The sequence below is a fragment of the Homo sapiens genome, chromosome 10 (assembly GCF_000001405.40).
Source record: "Homo sapiens chromosome 10, GRCh38.p14 Primary Assembly".
In the NCBI taxonomy this organism is placed as follows: Eukaryota; Metazoa; Chordata; class Mammalia; order Primates; family Hominidae; genus Homo; species Homo sapiens.
In genome coordinates, this window is record NC_000010.11 from 15794017 (window position 1) to 15812557 (window position 18541).

Sequence of the window (18541 nt, forward strand, 5' to 3'; positions counted from 1 at the left end):
TTAACAGCGTGACTGCAAATCCACCTACCTGTCAGAGAGCTGGGTTTATCAACCAGGGGTGGGAGCTAAAAGTGAGATAAAGATATAAAAATACTCCTGGGTACCTTCAGTGTCCTTCTAGGTCAGTTATTCTAAAAGCATTCTGAGGAGGGTGACACAGGATAACTGTCCCTATACCAGCCTCTGCTAAATGGAAACTGTATGTAAATGCTTGTAAGAACTTTCTGCATACTAAGTGTTCTGAGAACGCATGATTTGCTTACATCCTGAAACAAAAGCATATCATTTGGGGAAAGAAAATTAAATTAGCAGATTAGTTTGTAAGTGAAAAGAAAAAAAACTGAAAAATTAATCTACTTTTAATCCTTCTTAGAGCTGACTATACACATAGCTAAACCACGAACAGTGTGATATTTAGATGAAAAGTGGATTTTATCTTCTTCCTAAGTCATATATAGAGGCATACTTTCTAAGCTATCTGAATAAGTTTTGCTTGCTTTAATAATTCAGTTTATAGTCATGATAAGCTGTCACATGTAACTCTGTAGATTAAAAGCATTTAGTAATTTTCTTTGTCTAAAAGAAATACAACAAATTTTCATATGCATCTCTCACAACTCAATTCTGAAAAATTGCACTGATTATAAATTATGTTTTAGTATTGGTAATATGAGAAATTCTCATTTTCCTTGGTACACTGTAAAAGAAAATAAATAGTACAAGCCTGCTACCTCATTAGTGATTACTAAAAGCAAACAAAGCTACTACTTATGACAACTGTCTCCTACTTTAACAACCTTAATTTCAGTATCTTTGCAGCATTGATGAAATTTTTTCAGCCTTACAACATCAGCCTTCTAAAGTTTAGGGCTCCTATGTCTGCTCTGAAGGCATTTTTTCATGCCTTTATTCTTTAATAGTTATTATCTCCTAAGATTTTCTGATCCTTTCCTTTTATGTTTCTTTTCTCAAGAAAGTCATTCACTCCGTTTCAACTGTGGTTCCAAAATCTTCACTAGTAAAACAAAACACAACACAACACATAACGATTACATGAAAGCCATGTGTTTGGTTTTGGAATGTTCATAGTTATACTGGGTTAAGAATATGACTATTACCTTGGACAACTGCTTGTACCACTGGGCAAGGTGCTTTCCACATTATTCATTTAATATTCATAACGCCTCTAAGAACTAGTTACAGTTGTTCTAAGACTGATACCTAAGAAAACAGTAGACCTAAAAGTAACTAGCCTAAAGTTATCTGCTAGTAAGTGGTAAGAGAAGATATATTCTTAGAATTTGCATGACATGGATTTTCAGAGAGGAAAAGAGCAGATCACTAAGTGTACAAAGTTTCAAGACAGAAGAAAGTAAAGATAACTGAATCCATTCAGATATCTACAAGGACTTCACGGATACAGCAACTTCCATTTCTACACGGTACTTCGTAAGGGAACTCTGAAGTATGACAACTTAGTTTTGAAGTTATACTTGAAAGGTCAGTGAGTTAGCTATAATAAAGTCTTAACCGTTACCTAAATATGTAAACACAAAAGTGATCAAAACAACCTCAGTGACAATGACTCAGTAGACATTTTAATGATATATATGTGAACTTCTAAAAACTATACTTTGTTAGGTAGAATAGCTAAGCATAGGCTCCAAAGTGAATGATTCAGATGATCTTCCTCTGCTTCTTTATCCTGGGAGGTCAATTATACAGAAATATCCTGGAAGATCTGTTTATTTAATATTCGTTTGGATAAGTAAAGAAGAAAATGATTTACTTTTCAAACAGTTTGTTCAAAAGGTGGTATTTTTCCCTGTTTGGGGTCAAGATTAATCAGAGGGGTCAACTACACCTTCAGTACTCCAAGAAACACAGAAACCCAACTCAACAAGGACTTGTGTGCTATTTCATTTGTTCCCATTTTCACTACTTTCCTTTTAAAATGTTCAAGAAACACAACTTACATTTCATTAAATAATCCAATATATCTTTTGAATAAAATCAGGTCGCTATCAATGTATTTCAAACATATGAAGACATAAAACACAGAGATGATGTTAAAATCTTTTACCTTCTGGGTCGTAGGTTTGAAAAACTCTTCTGGCTTGTTCTGAAGGAGCTTCAGGGGCAACTAAAGCCATATCCTGAAAAGATAAGAAGCATGTTGTCAACCAGCTACAGTATTATGACATTAAAAAGAAAACAGATACTAGGGTAGGCAGACATAATGACATTGGAGTCAGAAGACTTTGAGTTACATTTGTATCATAGATGTGTAACGAGATAGGTCATAAACTCTCCAGGCCATTTATTTTACGTCTGAAAAGTGGCAATAAAAGCTTAACCACAGAAAAGTGTTGTGAATAATACATGTGGAGTTTTACATAAATACTTAAAACACTGGGGAAAAACGTCTAATACAGGTAGTTACTATAAAAATGTAGCATGAAAAAAAAAAACAAAAAACAAAACAAACACAAAAACAAAACCCAAACCATTTTTTCCACATTTTTTTGTTCAGGTAAGAAGAAATAAAATATACTCCAGTTTTCAAATATTCGAAAATAAAATCCAGAGATTTATTATAGCAAATAATGATACAATGAGATAGCAATGCATTAAAAATTTTAATTTAGTAACCTAGTCAAAGCTCAATCAACTTCTACATGTCCAGAATTTTAATTTTTCTGAACTCAAAGGAAACACCCTAGAGGACAGAAATTTCTTTCCCCCATAAAACAAATTCTCTACCATGACTAATTTATCACAGAAAACATTTATCAGGATTCTAAGCACAAAAATTGTGTTCTCTTTGATTCTTTACATTTACCCCACATATCTAAGCCATTATGAAATTCTACTTGACACACATGAATCTAAAATGTAGGCTCCTGTTGTTTACCTCTGGTTAGCTTTTACCTATAATTGTCTTTGCCTATAATGGTGTTTACTCAGACAAACGTCATCAGAGGGTAAGTTTCCAAGTATCCCTTCCTACTACCTTGAATCCTTTTTATGGGGTACAAATGTTAACATCTAAACTGCTGTTCCCCTGTGAACACAATTTTTGCAAGAAATGTACTTCTTAACTGTTGTTCTAATATCTCACCTTTACTCTGTTCACAGGTGAAGAAACTAAGAATCAGAGGAGTTCTAACTGAGCCATGAGGACTCGATTCCTGAAAACCTTATTTATAAAAAACAGGAATGGGAACTAAAACAAGGCAACCTGTGCAAGCCCTTACAAGTTTTTCATGTATTACAGTAAAAGGTAAAGCAACTTAAAAACCACTTGACATTTTTTAACATTTGTAAAATTTTGTAATGCACAGTTGTCTCTCATTTACCATCCCTTGCTAGAAACTTCTTAGGCTCACCCTTCACTGCATTTCCAACATTATTTTGCTGATAATGTATACGCCCAAGTGACATGTTTTCATTTGGCTTAACTTTCAATGCCTTTTTGATTTTATGATCTAGTCCTTTATTGCTGGACCCTTGAATTGTATCTAGTCTTCTGCTATTACAAAAAATGCTGAATCAAATAAACCTGAACATGTAACATCATAAACGTGCAGTTATATTTGCACAGCAGGTCACCAGAGTGGGATGGCTGGGTCAAAGAAAGGTTTATTTAACCTGAACAGTATTTCTTAAAACCCTCTTTCCTTTTTCTGATACATTACCAATACAGCCTTAGCTCTATAATTAACTCTTATGCCAAAGCTAGGACTGCAGTGTTGGCTCTCAGATTTAGGGAGCAATTGCTGACATGTGGGTTATTATTATTCCTCAGTTCCCTTTATCACTCCCAAACCTTAGTTGCAGATTTCTACATTTATTCTAGTATAAGCTTTAGCTCCCTTAACTATTTCTAACACATTTTTCTTTTTCAATTGTCTCCGTTAGACTGTTGAAATTTATAGATGAACACCATAACCTTTGAAATTCTGGCTGAGAAGGTACATGGTTACAGATTCAAATTTTATGCAGAGGGGAACTTACAGGGGCACAAAATCAGGATACAGTTATTCTTTCTATTCGCCATCTGTTACATTCTCAACCTTTTTTTGCGGTCACCAATGAATGAGGAAAAGTTCTGAAATGAGTTTTAAGATACTGCTGGTAATTTCTAAGTATTATTTAAAACTATGATCTAAACAGAAGAAAAGGGAGTATCAGGTTACTTTTTTCTGGGTTAAATCTTTTTGGGGGAAAGGTAGTAGAAATGTAACTGAAGCGTTACTTCAATATTGCTACAAAGTAAAGTTTGGGAAATTATCGCTGTTTACATAGTAGAGGGAAGCAAGTAGAATTCCAGATTTTAGCCATAGAAGGTTTAGATCAGATTCTCTGGCATTAAGGAGCTGACAGTTCAGGAGTGTAAAAAGAATTTAAAGTAAACTACCTGATGCCTTGTCTCTAAGTGCCAAGTGTTTTTTTTTTTTTTTTAAATACTCTGCTAGTGGTTGGGCACGGTGTGTCACGCCTGTAATCCCAGGACTTTGGGAGGCCAAGGTGGGCAGATAACGAGGTCAGGACTTAGTTAGAGACCAGACTGGCCAACATGGTGAAACCCCATCTCTACTACAAATACAAAAAATAGCTGGGTGTGGTGGCAGGCTCCTGTTAACCCAGCTACTTGGGAGGCTGAGGCAGGAAAATCATTTGAACCTGTGAGGCGGAGGTTGCAGTGAACCAAGATCATGCCATTGCACTCCAGCCTGGGCAACAGGGCAAGACTCTGTCTCAAAAACAAACAAACAAACAAAAAACCACTATGCCAACGTAGAAAGAAATTAAAGTAAACCTTAATGAAAAGTATACCACACATCTCTTTCTTGCCTGTGGTTCTGAACAGGCTATACAAGCTCACCTGCTATAGAAAGAGCATTTGGAACTTAGGCAAAAATCTCGGTGGACTCTAGTTAACATGTGTTCATTTAGAGCAGGGTTTGGCAAGCATTTTTCTGTAATGGGCCACAGAGTAAATTTTTATAGTAAATTTTTATGTTTTGCAGGGCATATGGTCTTAGCAGCAAAACACATGGCCATGGCTATGTTCCAATAAAACTTTACTGAAGCAGGTGGTGACTTTATTTGGCCTGAGGGCCATTTGCTGACCTATGATTTAGATAATATATTACATATTTTTTCCCCCAAATGCTCTAACATTTATTTATTTTTTTTAGATGGAATCTTGCTCTGTTGCCCAGGCTGGAGTGCAGTGGTGTGATCTTGCCTCACTGCAACCTCCACCTCCCAGGTTCAAGCAAATCTCTGCCCCAGCCTCCCTAGTAGCTGGGATTACAGGCATCCACCACCATGCCCGGCTAATTTTTGTATTTTTAGTAGAGACCGGGTTTCACTATCTTGGCCAGGCTGGTCTTGAACTCCTGACCTCATGATCCACCCACCTCAGGTTCCTAAAGTGCTGGGATTACAGGCTTGAGCCACTGCAACCAGCCTTTAACATTTATTAAACATGCCAACTTTTTGATATATGGGGGGAGTAAAGACATCTTAATCACTTTTACAGATTTTACAAAGAATATATTTTGGCTATTAGCAGAAATAGAAAAGAGGGCACAGAATTCTAGCTAGAAGGAACGGAATCAGGAAAGGCAGGGAGATGTGACTTCATAGCACACAGGGAAACTGAAAAAGGTGAACAGGACTGAGAACTGTGACAGAAAAGGAGGACTTAGGAAGGGAAATGAGCTTTGACAGAAGAATGAATTTGATTTTCGAACTTTTAGAGTTTGGAGGTAATGGTTAAACATCCAAGTAGAATACATGGAGTTATCTTAATACTTGGCACACTACGAACACTCACTGTTAGCTAACTGCGAGCTTCTCGTGAGCTATTAGAAATAGAATATTAGTGTTAGACTGAGGTTACGGCTGGGGAACTTGCAAGGGAAAATATTGAAAACTTATGGAAGCAGATTCCTTCAAAGAACTAAGAAGCGAGTACAGTTGATCCTCAAACAACATGGATATGAACTGCATGGGTCCACTTATATGTGAATTTTTTCTCAATAAATATATTGGAAATTTTTCTTGGAAGAAATTTTTCTTGGAAATTTGTGACAATTTGAAAAACTCGCAAACTGTGCAGCCTAGAGATATTTTCAAAAGTTAAGAAAAAATTAAGTATGCCATGCATGCATAAAATATATGTAGATACTAGTCTATTTTTTCTACTACCATGAAATGCCACAAATCTATTATAAAAAGTTAAAATGTATCAAAACAGGGGCATACGGACTGTACCTGGCACCACTCACAGTCAAGAGATGTAAACGAATGTAAAGATGCAGTATCAGATCACAACAGCATAAAATTAACTTTAGTGCATACTGTACTACTGGAATAATTTCATCACCATCTCCTGATGCTATTGTGGTGAGCTTGTGTTGTATCTGCTCAGAGCACAAGTATGGCGCTAATCATCTCCGCATGTGCAGCCCATCACTCCAGTGAGTTCCACATCACAGTAAAAAGTGATCTTAAGCAGTTCTCACATACTTTTCATCATGTTTAGTGCAATACTGTAACTCTTGAAAAAAAACCATGGAACCCATATGAAGTGCCACTAGTGATGCCGGAAGTTCTCCCAAGAAACCAAAGTCAGGACGTAAGAAAAAGTGGAATTGCTTGATATGCACCATGGATTGAGGTCTGCTGCTGTGGTTGCTCACTATGTCAAGATAAATGAATCCAGCATAAATATCGTAAAGAAAGAAAAGGAAATTCCTGAAGCCATTGCTGCAGCCATACAAACCTTCCGCTTTTTGCAAAATACCTCCTTGTACAAAAAATGCAACTTGTATGTAAGTGCAGGGTTGCTATAGGAAAGGCACACCTTTAGATTCTAATATGATTTAAGAAAAAGTGCAGTCATTATACAAGCTAAAGCAAAACAAAAGTAAAGGAGCTAAAGGTGGAGAACTTAATGCCAGCAAAGGATGGTTTGATAATTTTAGAAACTGGTTTGGCTTTAAAAATATCAAGGTAACAGGAGAAGCAGCTTCTGCTAACAAAGAGGCAGCAGTTAAGTTCTCAGAAACCATTAAGAAAATCTTTGAGAAGAAAGAATATCTGCCTGAACAGGTTTTTAATGTGGACAAAGGTGTCCTATTCCGGCATGGGGGGGAAATGCCATAAAGGACATTTATAAGTAAGGAAGAGAAGGAAGCACTAGGATTTAAGACAGAAAGGAAAAGGCTACTGTTTTATGCACATGCAGTCAGGGTGATGACCAGGACTGCCCTTATTTATAAAACTGCTAAACCCAAGCTTTGAAGGGAAAAGATAACACCAGCTGCCAATCTTTTGGCTGTATAAGAAAGAAGGCCTGGAAGAGAATGCTTTCTCTGGATCAGTTCTATCAATGCTGTGTACCTGAAGTTACCTAGTACCCTGCCAGTAAGAGACCACCTTTTAAAGTTCTTTTGATATTGGACAATGTCCCTGGCCACCCAGAATCCCATGAGCTCACCACCAAAGGCACCAAAGTAGTTAACTGCCCTCAAACACAACATCACTAATACAGCCTCTAGATTAGGAGGTCATAAGGACCCTTGAGGCTCATTACACACAGTAGTCTGCAGAAAAGATGATATGGTTATTGCTATTAAAGAGAACCGCAACAGCAAGAACAACATGGAAGTCTGGTAGGATTACAGTACTGAAGAGGCCATCACTGTTACAGAAAAAGCTAATCCATCTGGCCCAAAACATATTCCTGCTAGAGAACACTGTGTCCAGATATTGTGCATGAGTTCATAGGATTTACAGAGCCAATCAGAGTAAAGGGTTTCAAGATAAAGATCTTGGAGAAATTCAAGAGCTAACAGATACCACATCAGAAGAAATAACAGAAGATGGCTTGATAGAGATGAGTGCTTCTGAACCAGTGCTGGACAATGAGGAAGATGACGTAGAAGAAGCAGGGCCAGAATACAAACTGACATTCATTATAATTTTAACATATTCTTTTCTCCGGCTTACGAGATTACAGTATATAATACATATAAAATACAAAATATGTGTTAATCTACTGTTGGTTACGGTAAGGCTTCCAGCCAACAACTGGCTACTAGTAGTTAAATTTTTGAGGGAGTCAAAAGTTGTATGTGGATTTTTGACTATGCAGGGGGTTAGCACCCCAACTCCCATGTTACTCAAGGGTCAATTATGTTTTCAAAAACGAACTGCATTAGTCTGTTTTCACACTGCTATAAAGATACTACCTGAGGTGGGGTAATTTATAAATAAAAGGTTTAACTGACTCATAGATCTACATAGCTGGGGAGGCTTCAGGAAACTTATAATCATGCCAGACAGCGAAGGAGAAGCAAGCACCTTCTTCACAAGGCAGCAGGGGAGAGAGCATGCAGGGGAAGCACCAGACATATATCAAACAACCAGATCTCCTGAGAACTCACTATCAGAAGAACAGCATGGGGGAAACAGCCCCCATGACTCAATCGCCTCCCACCAGGTCCCTCCTTACTATGCGAGATGAGATCTGGGTAGGGACAAAGCCAAATCATATCAGGAATTAAGGCAACTTATTGGCTGAAGTTAAGTGTAAAACAAGTAACTCAAAACCCTGTATGTGGGGAAATGATAACAAACCCATTTGTTAGCTATTTAAACAGAAACTCTTTCTTTCCTCCCAACATACAACCCAGTGATACTGGTTAGGCTCCAAATAACAAAACCACCAACTGTAACTGTCATTACTAATACAACAAACTGTGTCTTGAACAATAAAAAAAAAAAAATCATGTTTTGCTCTTTTGGTCTCAGTCATATACTACTAACAGCTAATTTGGTCAACTCTTTAGGCAATAACTCTTAATCACACCACTTAAAAAAGATGTGTTTACACTAGAGGATGAAAAAAGAGAATAAAAAGAGAAAAAACCCAAGAGATTATTGTAAATTCAAATGGAAACATTCCAGAAGTTTTCTTCCACAAATCAAAACCAGTACATAGTCTTCTAAAGTGATTACTGGCTTGCTTATTTTGACTGTTTACAATGCTTTTTGGATCACTGTAGAAAATGATCTTTTATTTAAACCTTGTTTAAATTTATGTAATGTTTAAATGTTCAGAGATGTAATCAGAAAGTTATGAAACCACCTTCTATTCCCATTAAAGTGTTTCATGTTGCAGTTCTTTTAACTCTGTAATTTTAATTCAAATTATAAACACTAATTTTTGCCGATTTATTTAACTTAAACACTTGCAAACAGGGTTCCTAGTATAAAGATCTGTAGACTAATCCATGTAGCAAACTTAATATTAATATATCAATATACTGCATATTTGCATAGCAAGTTTGAAGAGCAAGTATAGAATTACATTCAATTGAGAGAGTTTTACAATCAAGACAAAACACTTCAGAGGTATAACTGCCGTATTTTTCTTATTGTACATAAAATGGTTTAGTTAGAAGGAATGTAATGACTTTATAAATGTGAAGAGGAGGATTCTACCCTCAGATTTTCCATTTCCAAAATTTAATATAGCAACAGCTTTTAGGTTCCATATGTAGTATATTTTCTCTATCTAACTATACATAAAACCATAATTTCTTAAACATTTGGCAGGCTTAATAGATGGTAGAGAAAAACCCAGTCTGTGCACTTAAGGTCGCAGTCTAATAGAACAGAGAAAAACATGCTACTCTATCTTTACTTCCAAGAATCTTATTAAATTTATCCTAAGAAAATTATCTTCCAAGATGAAGTTCTAACAAATGTACACTAATCCTACACTCCCCCACCACACACACAAAAAACCCCACGAATGATAATTAAGTAAAGGGATTCCAAGGTCAGCAAATACACTTGCATTTTCTTTTCTTCATCCCTAGTTGTAATACTTAGGAGAAAATTTCAACATGTACTGCATTTGGAACTCTTTTAGGTACCCTCAGTAGGAAGAGATCCTACACATGAGACTCAACGATTACATACTGTTTTAGTTAGCAATTTAAGCTCTGATTTACCATCAAAATTATTTTTATTGTAAAAGCAGTTCTTTACATTAGTCTGATATAATCACATGATTTTATCAGAGGAATTTATATTCAACCAATTTACTGGTCAACAGGGATTGCAAAACAATATAGCTTTTAAAATTATCTAGCCTCACTCAGCTTAAATGCAGAGGGTTGGCGGGGGGGCGGGGGATGGAAGTAGGTGGACCAAGCTGTTAATGGGACTATCTAATAGCCTACAATCATGAAACAGATATCTCCTTTTCACGTAGCTCTGTATTATCAGTGTAACTATTCACTATTCACCATAAACCTTTTAAAATGTTGTAACATTAGCCATCCTTCTAAACACCTACTGAAATATAAGGCCTGTGTACAGTGGGTTGGCTGGGGATAAGTAATTCATTACTGAAAAGGTCTTTAAAGTTTTTCTCATTAAGCCTTTCATCGTTATGAAGAGCAATCTGCTGTCACGATTCATCAAAGAACCTCCAAGAGCATCGTCATCTAACTTCAAGAATGACTGCACATATATAAATGACATTTTAGCTTGCAGACAACATATTATAGTGTTTAAAGTCCCTCCAATAAATAAATAAAAGGTAAATGCTGTATAATTTACCTTTAAGCAAAATTTTACTTTATAATGTTTCACCTTTAGTCTTTGCTTACTATCTGTATTTATGAACAAATAATTTGGGAAATAGATTTTAAGTCAATTACATCATCTCAAAACACAGAACGTCATTAGTGGCAGCAAGATTAACAGAATTCAGTTAATCCCAATACCTGAAAGCAGGAAGGATGGTGGTCTTTTCTCTTATTCTTCCATTATTTTCCAAATAACGTGTAAAGCCCAGGTCACCTCCACAGTAGCCCACTGCTGTGAGGCACCAATCTGTGTCGTATGGGCAGAGAAATCAGGGTAGGAAACACAGCAGACAGCCCTCTGACGTTCTTCCTCTAGAAACACAGACTCTAAATGCACAAGTGGAAATAACGCAGTGGGAGAAGAAGTTTCCAACAGATGTCATCTACTCTTGTGCCATAATTATTAAAATCATTAATGAGTGAGCTGCTGACTCTCCAAATTATCGTAATCGACCAACTAACTTTAACAAATCCGTCAAGCTTTTCTTGAAGTTAGACGACGTTCTTGGAGGTTCTTTGATTATTCATGACAGCAGATTGCTCTTCATAATGATGAAAGGCTTAAAGAATAAACTTTAAAGACCTTTTCAGTAATGAATTACTTATCCCCAGCCAACTCACTGTACACAGGCCTTATAATTCAGTAGGTGTTTAGAAGGATAGTTAATGTTACATTTTAAAAGGTTTCTGGTGAACAGAGAATAGTTATACTGGTAATACAGATAGAGGTACCTGAAAAAATAAAGTTCCTCTTTATTTCAAAGTTAGGACTCTTTGTATCACTGGAATTAAACTGTTCAATCACCTAGTGATACAAGGTAATCGATGGTGGTAGATAATATTATTGTTCCCAATTAGTTGCTGCTTCCTCCTTCTAAGAGGATTATTTGTCACTGTCTGTTGCTAAGTGACCTGAAGTACTTTTCTCTGAAATGGGCCTACTTCCTTGCCTCATTGACATCAGATTCAGCCAGAGAAATACAACTGGGAGTGACATTATGCTAGCTCCTAGCAGAAACTTTAAGTGCCACTATCTGGTTTGGCCAGAAGTCTTGTTCTTTTCCCTCTCTTATGAGAACTGCACATTCCAGGCAGAAGCTACTCCTTCAGCCCAGATCTTAAAATAAAAGAGACACGTGGAGCACACCTGCAGCCAACATGTAAGTTATGAGGGCGGTAAGCTTTGGGCTGGGTGTGTTGGGGAGAGAGGTATGGTGGCTGTGGTGTGCTCCAGTACAGCCAAAAAGAGGGTACATTGCTTTTAGAGACGTTAAAACATTCTCAAATTCCTTTTTGCCATCACCACGTGCAGACAAATCTGAACAATGTCAGTAGTCACACACTCCTCCTACCCACAGGATGGGCTGTTCTCATCGCCCCCTTCTTGAGTACCACTGTGTACAGGACTGAAATGTCAGGGTTGTTGGTTACTGCAGCAAGCTGGCAAAGGGGATTAAAACCTAATATTCTGGCTGGGGCTGTATGTTGCTTGTGCCACATGTACTCTATTTGATCTTCCTATTGAGAGCAGTCTATATTTTCCTCTTGTGTCTTCCCTCATGCTATCCAGTAACTCTGACCTTAACAATGTAAGCTGCACATGGAGGAATCTCCACATACGCAGACTTCATGTTTCCTATGAAAATTAATGCTTAAGAAGATTACTGAAACTGTGTCTACTCAATACCAATAATTTAATCTTGGGAGGCTTGGATTAGTATGAACAAAAAGTGAGGGCCCCCAACCAATCCTACCTCGTTTTCTACAATTTTAAACAAGGTTTGCATGATTACAAATTAGTCACAGTACTCACATTTATAATTTAAAATTTTATCACAGCTGTGCAGAGAAGCTTTGACTGTTGATTCAGAAGGCTGCTCTACTTCCATGAATTTGCTTTACATTCATGCCACGGATATTCCTGTTTAGCTTTCCATATCAAGACAGACTTTCATATAGTAAGGACAATTTGTAAATAAATGTGATTATTCAAGCTGGTCCTACAGCTGATCGTCAACCTTTGGTTTCATCTTAATATCCTAGCACAACTAGTATGGTTTAGCTATCATCTACCAATTACTATTCCCCAAACACAGTATTAACTTTCCCATTATAACACTACATCTATACAGCTTTCACTTCATATCAGTCTCAAAGTTACCATGTCCTTTCATTCAAGTATAATCTTTTCTACACCTACTTCTTCCCTCTTCCAGGGTCTACTCTACTCTAGCAGAATGAGTTGTTTTCTTAAGGGAGGGAAGTAGTTAAATGCATAGCTCAGAAGTCAGAAGACTGGAGTTTAAATCCTGCCTTGGTACTCACTAGTATCTAACTTTGGAGATGTCATTTTTCTCACTGGCCCCAGACTGTAACATGCAGATGAAAACGGCACGCAGCTCACAGGGTTGGTTTGAGGATTAAATGAGGAATGCTCCTGAGATGATTAATTAGCATACTGCCTAACATACAGACAACATTCAGTAAACACTCACAGTAAACTATTACCATGTATTATTAATCCTTACGTTCCAACAGTACTTACCACAATACTGAATGTGTGTGACAGTAGGTAGTGTGGGAAATCAGTTAGTGCCACAAGAAGGAAGGAAGTTGGAAGAAAGAACAGGAGCAACAAGAGAGTAGGAGAATCAGCGGACACAATACGAATGGTGGAAGGTTGGACCAGGAATGCTGAGCAAGACTTTGATAAGCGTATTCTGGGCAGAGGATAACATAAGCAAAGCATGTGCAAACACACACAATAATCCCCCAAATTAAACTTAGTAAGACTTAGTGGCGGTCATCTATTAACCATACAAGACCTTTTTTTGTACTCTGCTATCAACTCTACTGGCTATGATTTTTTTCTATCAATTCTGAACAGATAGCTAGGGGTGTGGGCTTAATGATACTGACTCTTAATTAAAACTCATAGGCTTCATTCCTAACAGAATACTTCTAGGCCCTTCCATCAGTATTTTATCTTTAGACAATTATTTGGATACTATTGTAAGAGAAAAAGAAAAATTCAGTGGAAAAGAGAGACTTCTTCCAGGAAGGCTGACATCACTGATGACTGAGAAGTAATAAGTAAAAGAAAAAGAAAATTCAGGGAAATCACAAAAACCAGAATATACAAATACAGCTGCATAAGGCAAAGAGTACATAAGGGTAACTGATGTTCACTTGGCTTAAGGAGGCAAGAACATTTATATTTTGAAAGATTTCTGGTCAAAATAATTAAAAATGAAAAGCTTTAGTATTATTGTGGTACAAGTCATTGGCATAATCCTAGATGGCTGATGGGGGACAGCCCCAAATTGTGCTAAGCAGGTAGGAAAGAGTTTGTGATTAAAAATTTACATACTTGTAATAATTCAAATCACTGAGAATAATTAAGCTGTCCAGATGTCTACCCAGACTTTCCAAGTAGTTCAGATAAGAGATTAACTTCAGGATCCTTTAAGTTGTTATTTTAAGGTCTTAAAAGTCACAGAAGTTATGATTAAACTACAAGAACAAATAATTAGCATTTTCCCTATTTCCTTTCTGTATTAGATGAGGCACGAAATCTCAATATATGCACAAACTCCAGAATTTACTTAAGATAAAAGGATGAGGTAACTAAACTGCAATAAAACACAAAATGCCAACTGTGAATTTTCTTGGAAGAGTAAACGTATAAAGCACCACTTTACAGCTTTTCCTTAACACCGTTTTATTACATGCAGAGAAATGTCGATGTAGAACTGTCCAGTTTTTAAACACCTAAGAGAGAAAGGCTCTAACAGTTCACCGCAGTGTTTTTCCTGTTACACCAAGGAGTAATAAAAGCAGCTTGTGCTGTAGAAATAATTCTCCCTACATTCCCAGTAACAGATCCCACTGGAAGAACAATGTCAGCTCACACAGCAACAGTTAAATAATTTTTTCCTCCTTAGCATTAAATTCAGTTTCTTTATATGAACAGTTCTGTCATGGATATTCACGTGTTCATGCCTGACAAGAAAACTGCTTTTATCAAAGGAAAGGTCAAAGGTGAGGTTCCGCACACACATAGAGCCCCTTTATAACCATAAAAGAGAACAAAAAAGTGATGTAAAACTCATCTCCCCAACTTCAATGAAGAGTTTAAATGGAGTACCAAGCAAATTAGCCACTGATCTTCTGAAGATGAAACTAGATGCTATAGGCAGGGTCCAACTATTTTTATACTGGATCAACAGCTGTCACTCCACATTGAGATTCAAATGCACAGTAAAAACAAAAAAGGCATTTATTATGTCTTCCATTTTATACATTCTAAATTCTAGTAATATTTAAAGTAGATTTTCAGATTTAAAGTGCCCATTTTGAATTTGCATTGAAAATTAATTTCCTAATTAGTTCCCAATTCGAGGGAAATTAAGAAAGTGACCCAAATAAATTATTCTTAAAACCCAAGTATAAAAATAAAAGATGAAGAATCAATGAGGAAAACGATGGTTAGGGAGAAAATAGAGGACAAATGCCCTAATGTTTGAACACTTAAATAATTATGGATTATTATGAAAGACCTGACTCCTAACATATTTGACATATTACAAAACAAATGTTACACAGCCTTCATCTAATAAGAGCTAGTTTTTTCTTCTGAAATTAAGGAAAAACAATTCAAAAAGTTTAAGTTCTGTATTCCTTAAGCGTCTACTTTTCAAAATACATTTCTTTTTACCTGTGCAGTAGGTTCGCATGTTTTCAAGTAACCTCAATGAAAGTGCCATGATACGATTTCTGAAGACCCATGCCTACAGGGCACATTCTGTCTCCATGTACAGACCTTTGTTCTGCCACAGCTCAGATGACCTGCTTGGAAAGTTCTCCATCGTACTTAATAGGAATTAAGTTTCCCTCTTTGAAGAGGTCCATTTACGTACTGCATTTCACCTCACCCGTATCCTCTTATTAGAAGTTCTGTGGGAACCCTGCTGCTTGATGACTCTGCAGTTCCTATAAGGTTCCTGAAGTTAGATTCTGTGATATTCTCCCTCAGTAGTAACTACAAAAATCTCATTTACATAGGGTGGCTTAGATGCATTTCTCACAACCAGACTCCTTAGGATACTATGTCAAGGAGTACAATAACAGTTTTGTTGTTTGACAGAGACAGAGGGTTAGTAGGAAAAGATGACTCTTTCTATATCAGACAGAAAATATGATTTATAAAACATGGTGGTTTAAATTTAAAAACTTAAAATTATATTTCTTCATGAAAGAAATGTTATAAATGATCAACCTGAACATTTTTACAACCTCTTCATAAAATTATTAAATTTATTTTTAATGATGATTCTCAAGTAAAACTGACTTGTGAAAAATCTCTTTTAATCCTACAAAATGTGTTGGATGATTATAGGTCAGGAAGAGGGCACCAGTACAATTAAAAAGGTAAATTCTGGGTCACTGGATATATCAAATATAAAGTGATAAGTTCATTAAGTAAATACTTTGGCACTGAAAATTAAAATCATGAACCTATACTAGTGCCCTTTAAAAAAATTATATTTAATTACTTTAAGTCCTAAAAGTAAATTGTTCATTTCAAAAACAAAAACAGATAGTTAAGAGGTTATTTCACTGGACAGAAGCAATTTTCTTAACCATCCTCAAATCATGAAAGTAAATTTTGAACATGTTACAGCATATAGGTAGTTTCACAAAGCTTATTTGTAAATACTCATGACAGCTGTTTCTATTCAATAATACGGGTGGTTTGAATTGGTCAGGTAGGATAGCAAAAGCTAGTTTTTCTATTTGCCCTCCATGTAAGATAGAGATCTATTGAATTCTGATGATCCAAGACTATTCAGCCATCTTAAGCACACCTCCCGACCCCCAACTTATCAAGTAATAACATGGTCATCTCACAATTTTTTTAAGATGGATCTACAGTGTGTTCTATAATGTATTTGGTCAACAAAAAGTCATTGAGCACCTACACTATGCCTGGCACTGCTCTAGGACCTGGCAAACAGTAGGTGACAAAACACAAAAATCCTGCCATCACAGAGCTTACTACAGAGAGAGACAGATAATATAGAAAACAAGTAAATATACAGGACGAATCTAGTACCCAGAATATATTAAAAAACTCTTATAACTCAATAACAAAAAGACAAACAACCCAATTAAAAAACAGGCGAAGGACCTGAACAGACGTTTATCCAAAGAACGTCTAGAAGTGGACAACAATCACATAAAAAGATGCTCATTAGTCATTAGGGAAATGCAAATCAAAATTACAATTACCACTTAACACCCACTAGGATGATTATAATAATAATTTTAATGATCCAGTATTGGCAAAGATGTGGAAAAATTCAGTTTTCAAACTCTGCCAATTATTTTGATAATGCAAATGAACACGGGCCACAAGCTTCGACTTCTAAAGGAAAGCAGGTTAGGAATAAGGGTAGAGAAGAAAAGAAAAAACAACTCAATAAGAAAATCAAGTCAAATTTAAATAAACATAATTCACAATAAAACCGAAGTTGAAATGTCAAAGATTTTTTTTCTGAGAAAGAAAAATGCTATAATTTTAAAACTTAGCCAATATACTATACTACTTTCATCATATTTAATCGCTGAGACCTTAGTTCATCCTGTATATAAATATACCAAAATATATTTTTTGAAAAATTTACTTACAAAATTTAGAAAAAGGAGCCAAAGCCATCAACCACTTGCCATCACAGTATTTTCAGTGCTAGTCATGAGACTATGTATAGATTAATATTTCTGAAAATTTTGGAAGTGATATTCACTTCTAACACAACACAAACACAAATTATTCCAAAACTGCAATGTATTTAAAGCAGTGGTATATGTATTTGAATGTCACTGATTAACAATACTTTTAAATCATGAAAAATGAATAGAACTCAAAACTGCTACTATTTAAGAAAATGTCAATTTGTGCTTCATCTTACCTATAATATAGTTAACATTACTCATAATTTTTGCCCAAAGCCACTAATTTGCTTCAGGAAAAAAAATAACATATGTGCACTTTCTCCTTATTACTAGGGTCTAATACATGAAGCTTTCATTCCTACAAAAATTTAATTACATGTGTACAGAACATATAAAACTAGTATTTATAACCTAAAACTTCAGAATAAAACTTTCTAATTAGATGCTTAATTCAGTTTTCCATGTACATTTGCAATAATGCTTAATTTTTCATTTTTTAAATTTTTTTATTATTTTTATTTTTTTTGAGATGGAGTCTTGCTCCTTCACCCAGGTTGGAGTGAAGTGGCACAATCTCAGCTCACTGCAACCTCCGTCCCCTGGGTTCAAGTGATTCTCCTGCCTCAGCCTCCTGAGTAGCTGGGATTACAGGTGCCCAGCACCACGCCTGGGTAATTTTTGTATTCTTAGTAGAGATGGGTTTTGCCATGTTGGCCAGGCTGGTCTCGAACTCCTGACCTCACGTGATTCACCTGCCTCGGCCTCCCAAAGTGTTAGGATTACAGGCATGAGCCCCTGCGCCCGGCCAATTCTTGATTTATTCTATAAATTTCAATGTTCTATAATTTCTGGGAAATAGTATAATTATCCCTTCTCAATTATTCATGTGTTAAATATTACTCACAACATCTTTTACTTTATTAATTCACTTAACACATTATCTTTTTACCCCATACAGAAGGTTAAATTCAATACAGCTTCTGATATTTTACTCTATCTTAGCTATCACATTTCTGCCTTCCTACCCATGCAATATTAGAAAAGTTTTTAATTCCTCTATGGACTGGTTCCTTTGGCATAAAGAATAGATGTGGGTCAAAGGATTCTGACAGCTCTCACTAGTG

The 18541-nt window shown here is 36.1% G+C and overlaps 1 protein-coding gene and 1 long non-coding RNA gene across 16 annotated transcripts in view; one reads left to right on the forward strand and one right to left on the reverse strand.

Annotated features, from left to right (window-relative positions):
* Window positions 1-18541, forward strand: part of LOC124902383 (uncharacterized) — a 121044-nt gene that overhangs the window by 56260 nt on the left and 46243 nt on the right. For 2 of the 3 annotated variants that reach the window (XR_007062071.1, XR_007062070.1), the window contains exon 2: window positions 3139-3283. This is a non-coding gene — a long non-coding RNA (uncharacterized LOC124902383). Of the gene's footprint in view, window positions 1-3138; window positions 3580-18541 lie in introns of those variants that run through there. The other variant, XR_007062069.1, reaches the window with a different exon arrangement.
* The window catches only part of MINDY3 (MINDY lysine 48 deubiquitinase 3), an 82334-nt gene that overhangs the window by 15843 nt on the left and 47950 nt on the right, over window positions 1-18541 (reverse strand). For 11 of the 13 annotated variants that reach the window (XM_005252600.3, NM_001318330.2, XM_006717508.3 and 8 more), the window contains one exon: window positions 2084-2156. In XM_005252600.3, the coding sequence (XP_005252657.1) occupies window positions 2084-2156 (73 nt within the window). Of the gene's footprint in view, window positions 1-2083; window positions 2157-18541 lie in introns of those variants that run through there. The other 2 variants (XM_047425776.1, XM_047425775.1) reach the window with 1 other exon arrangement.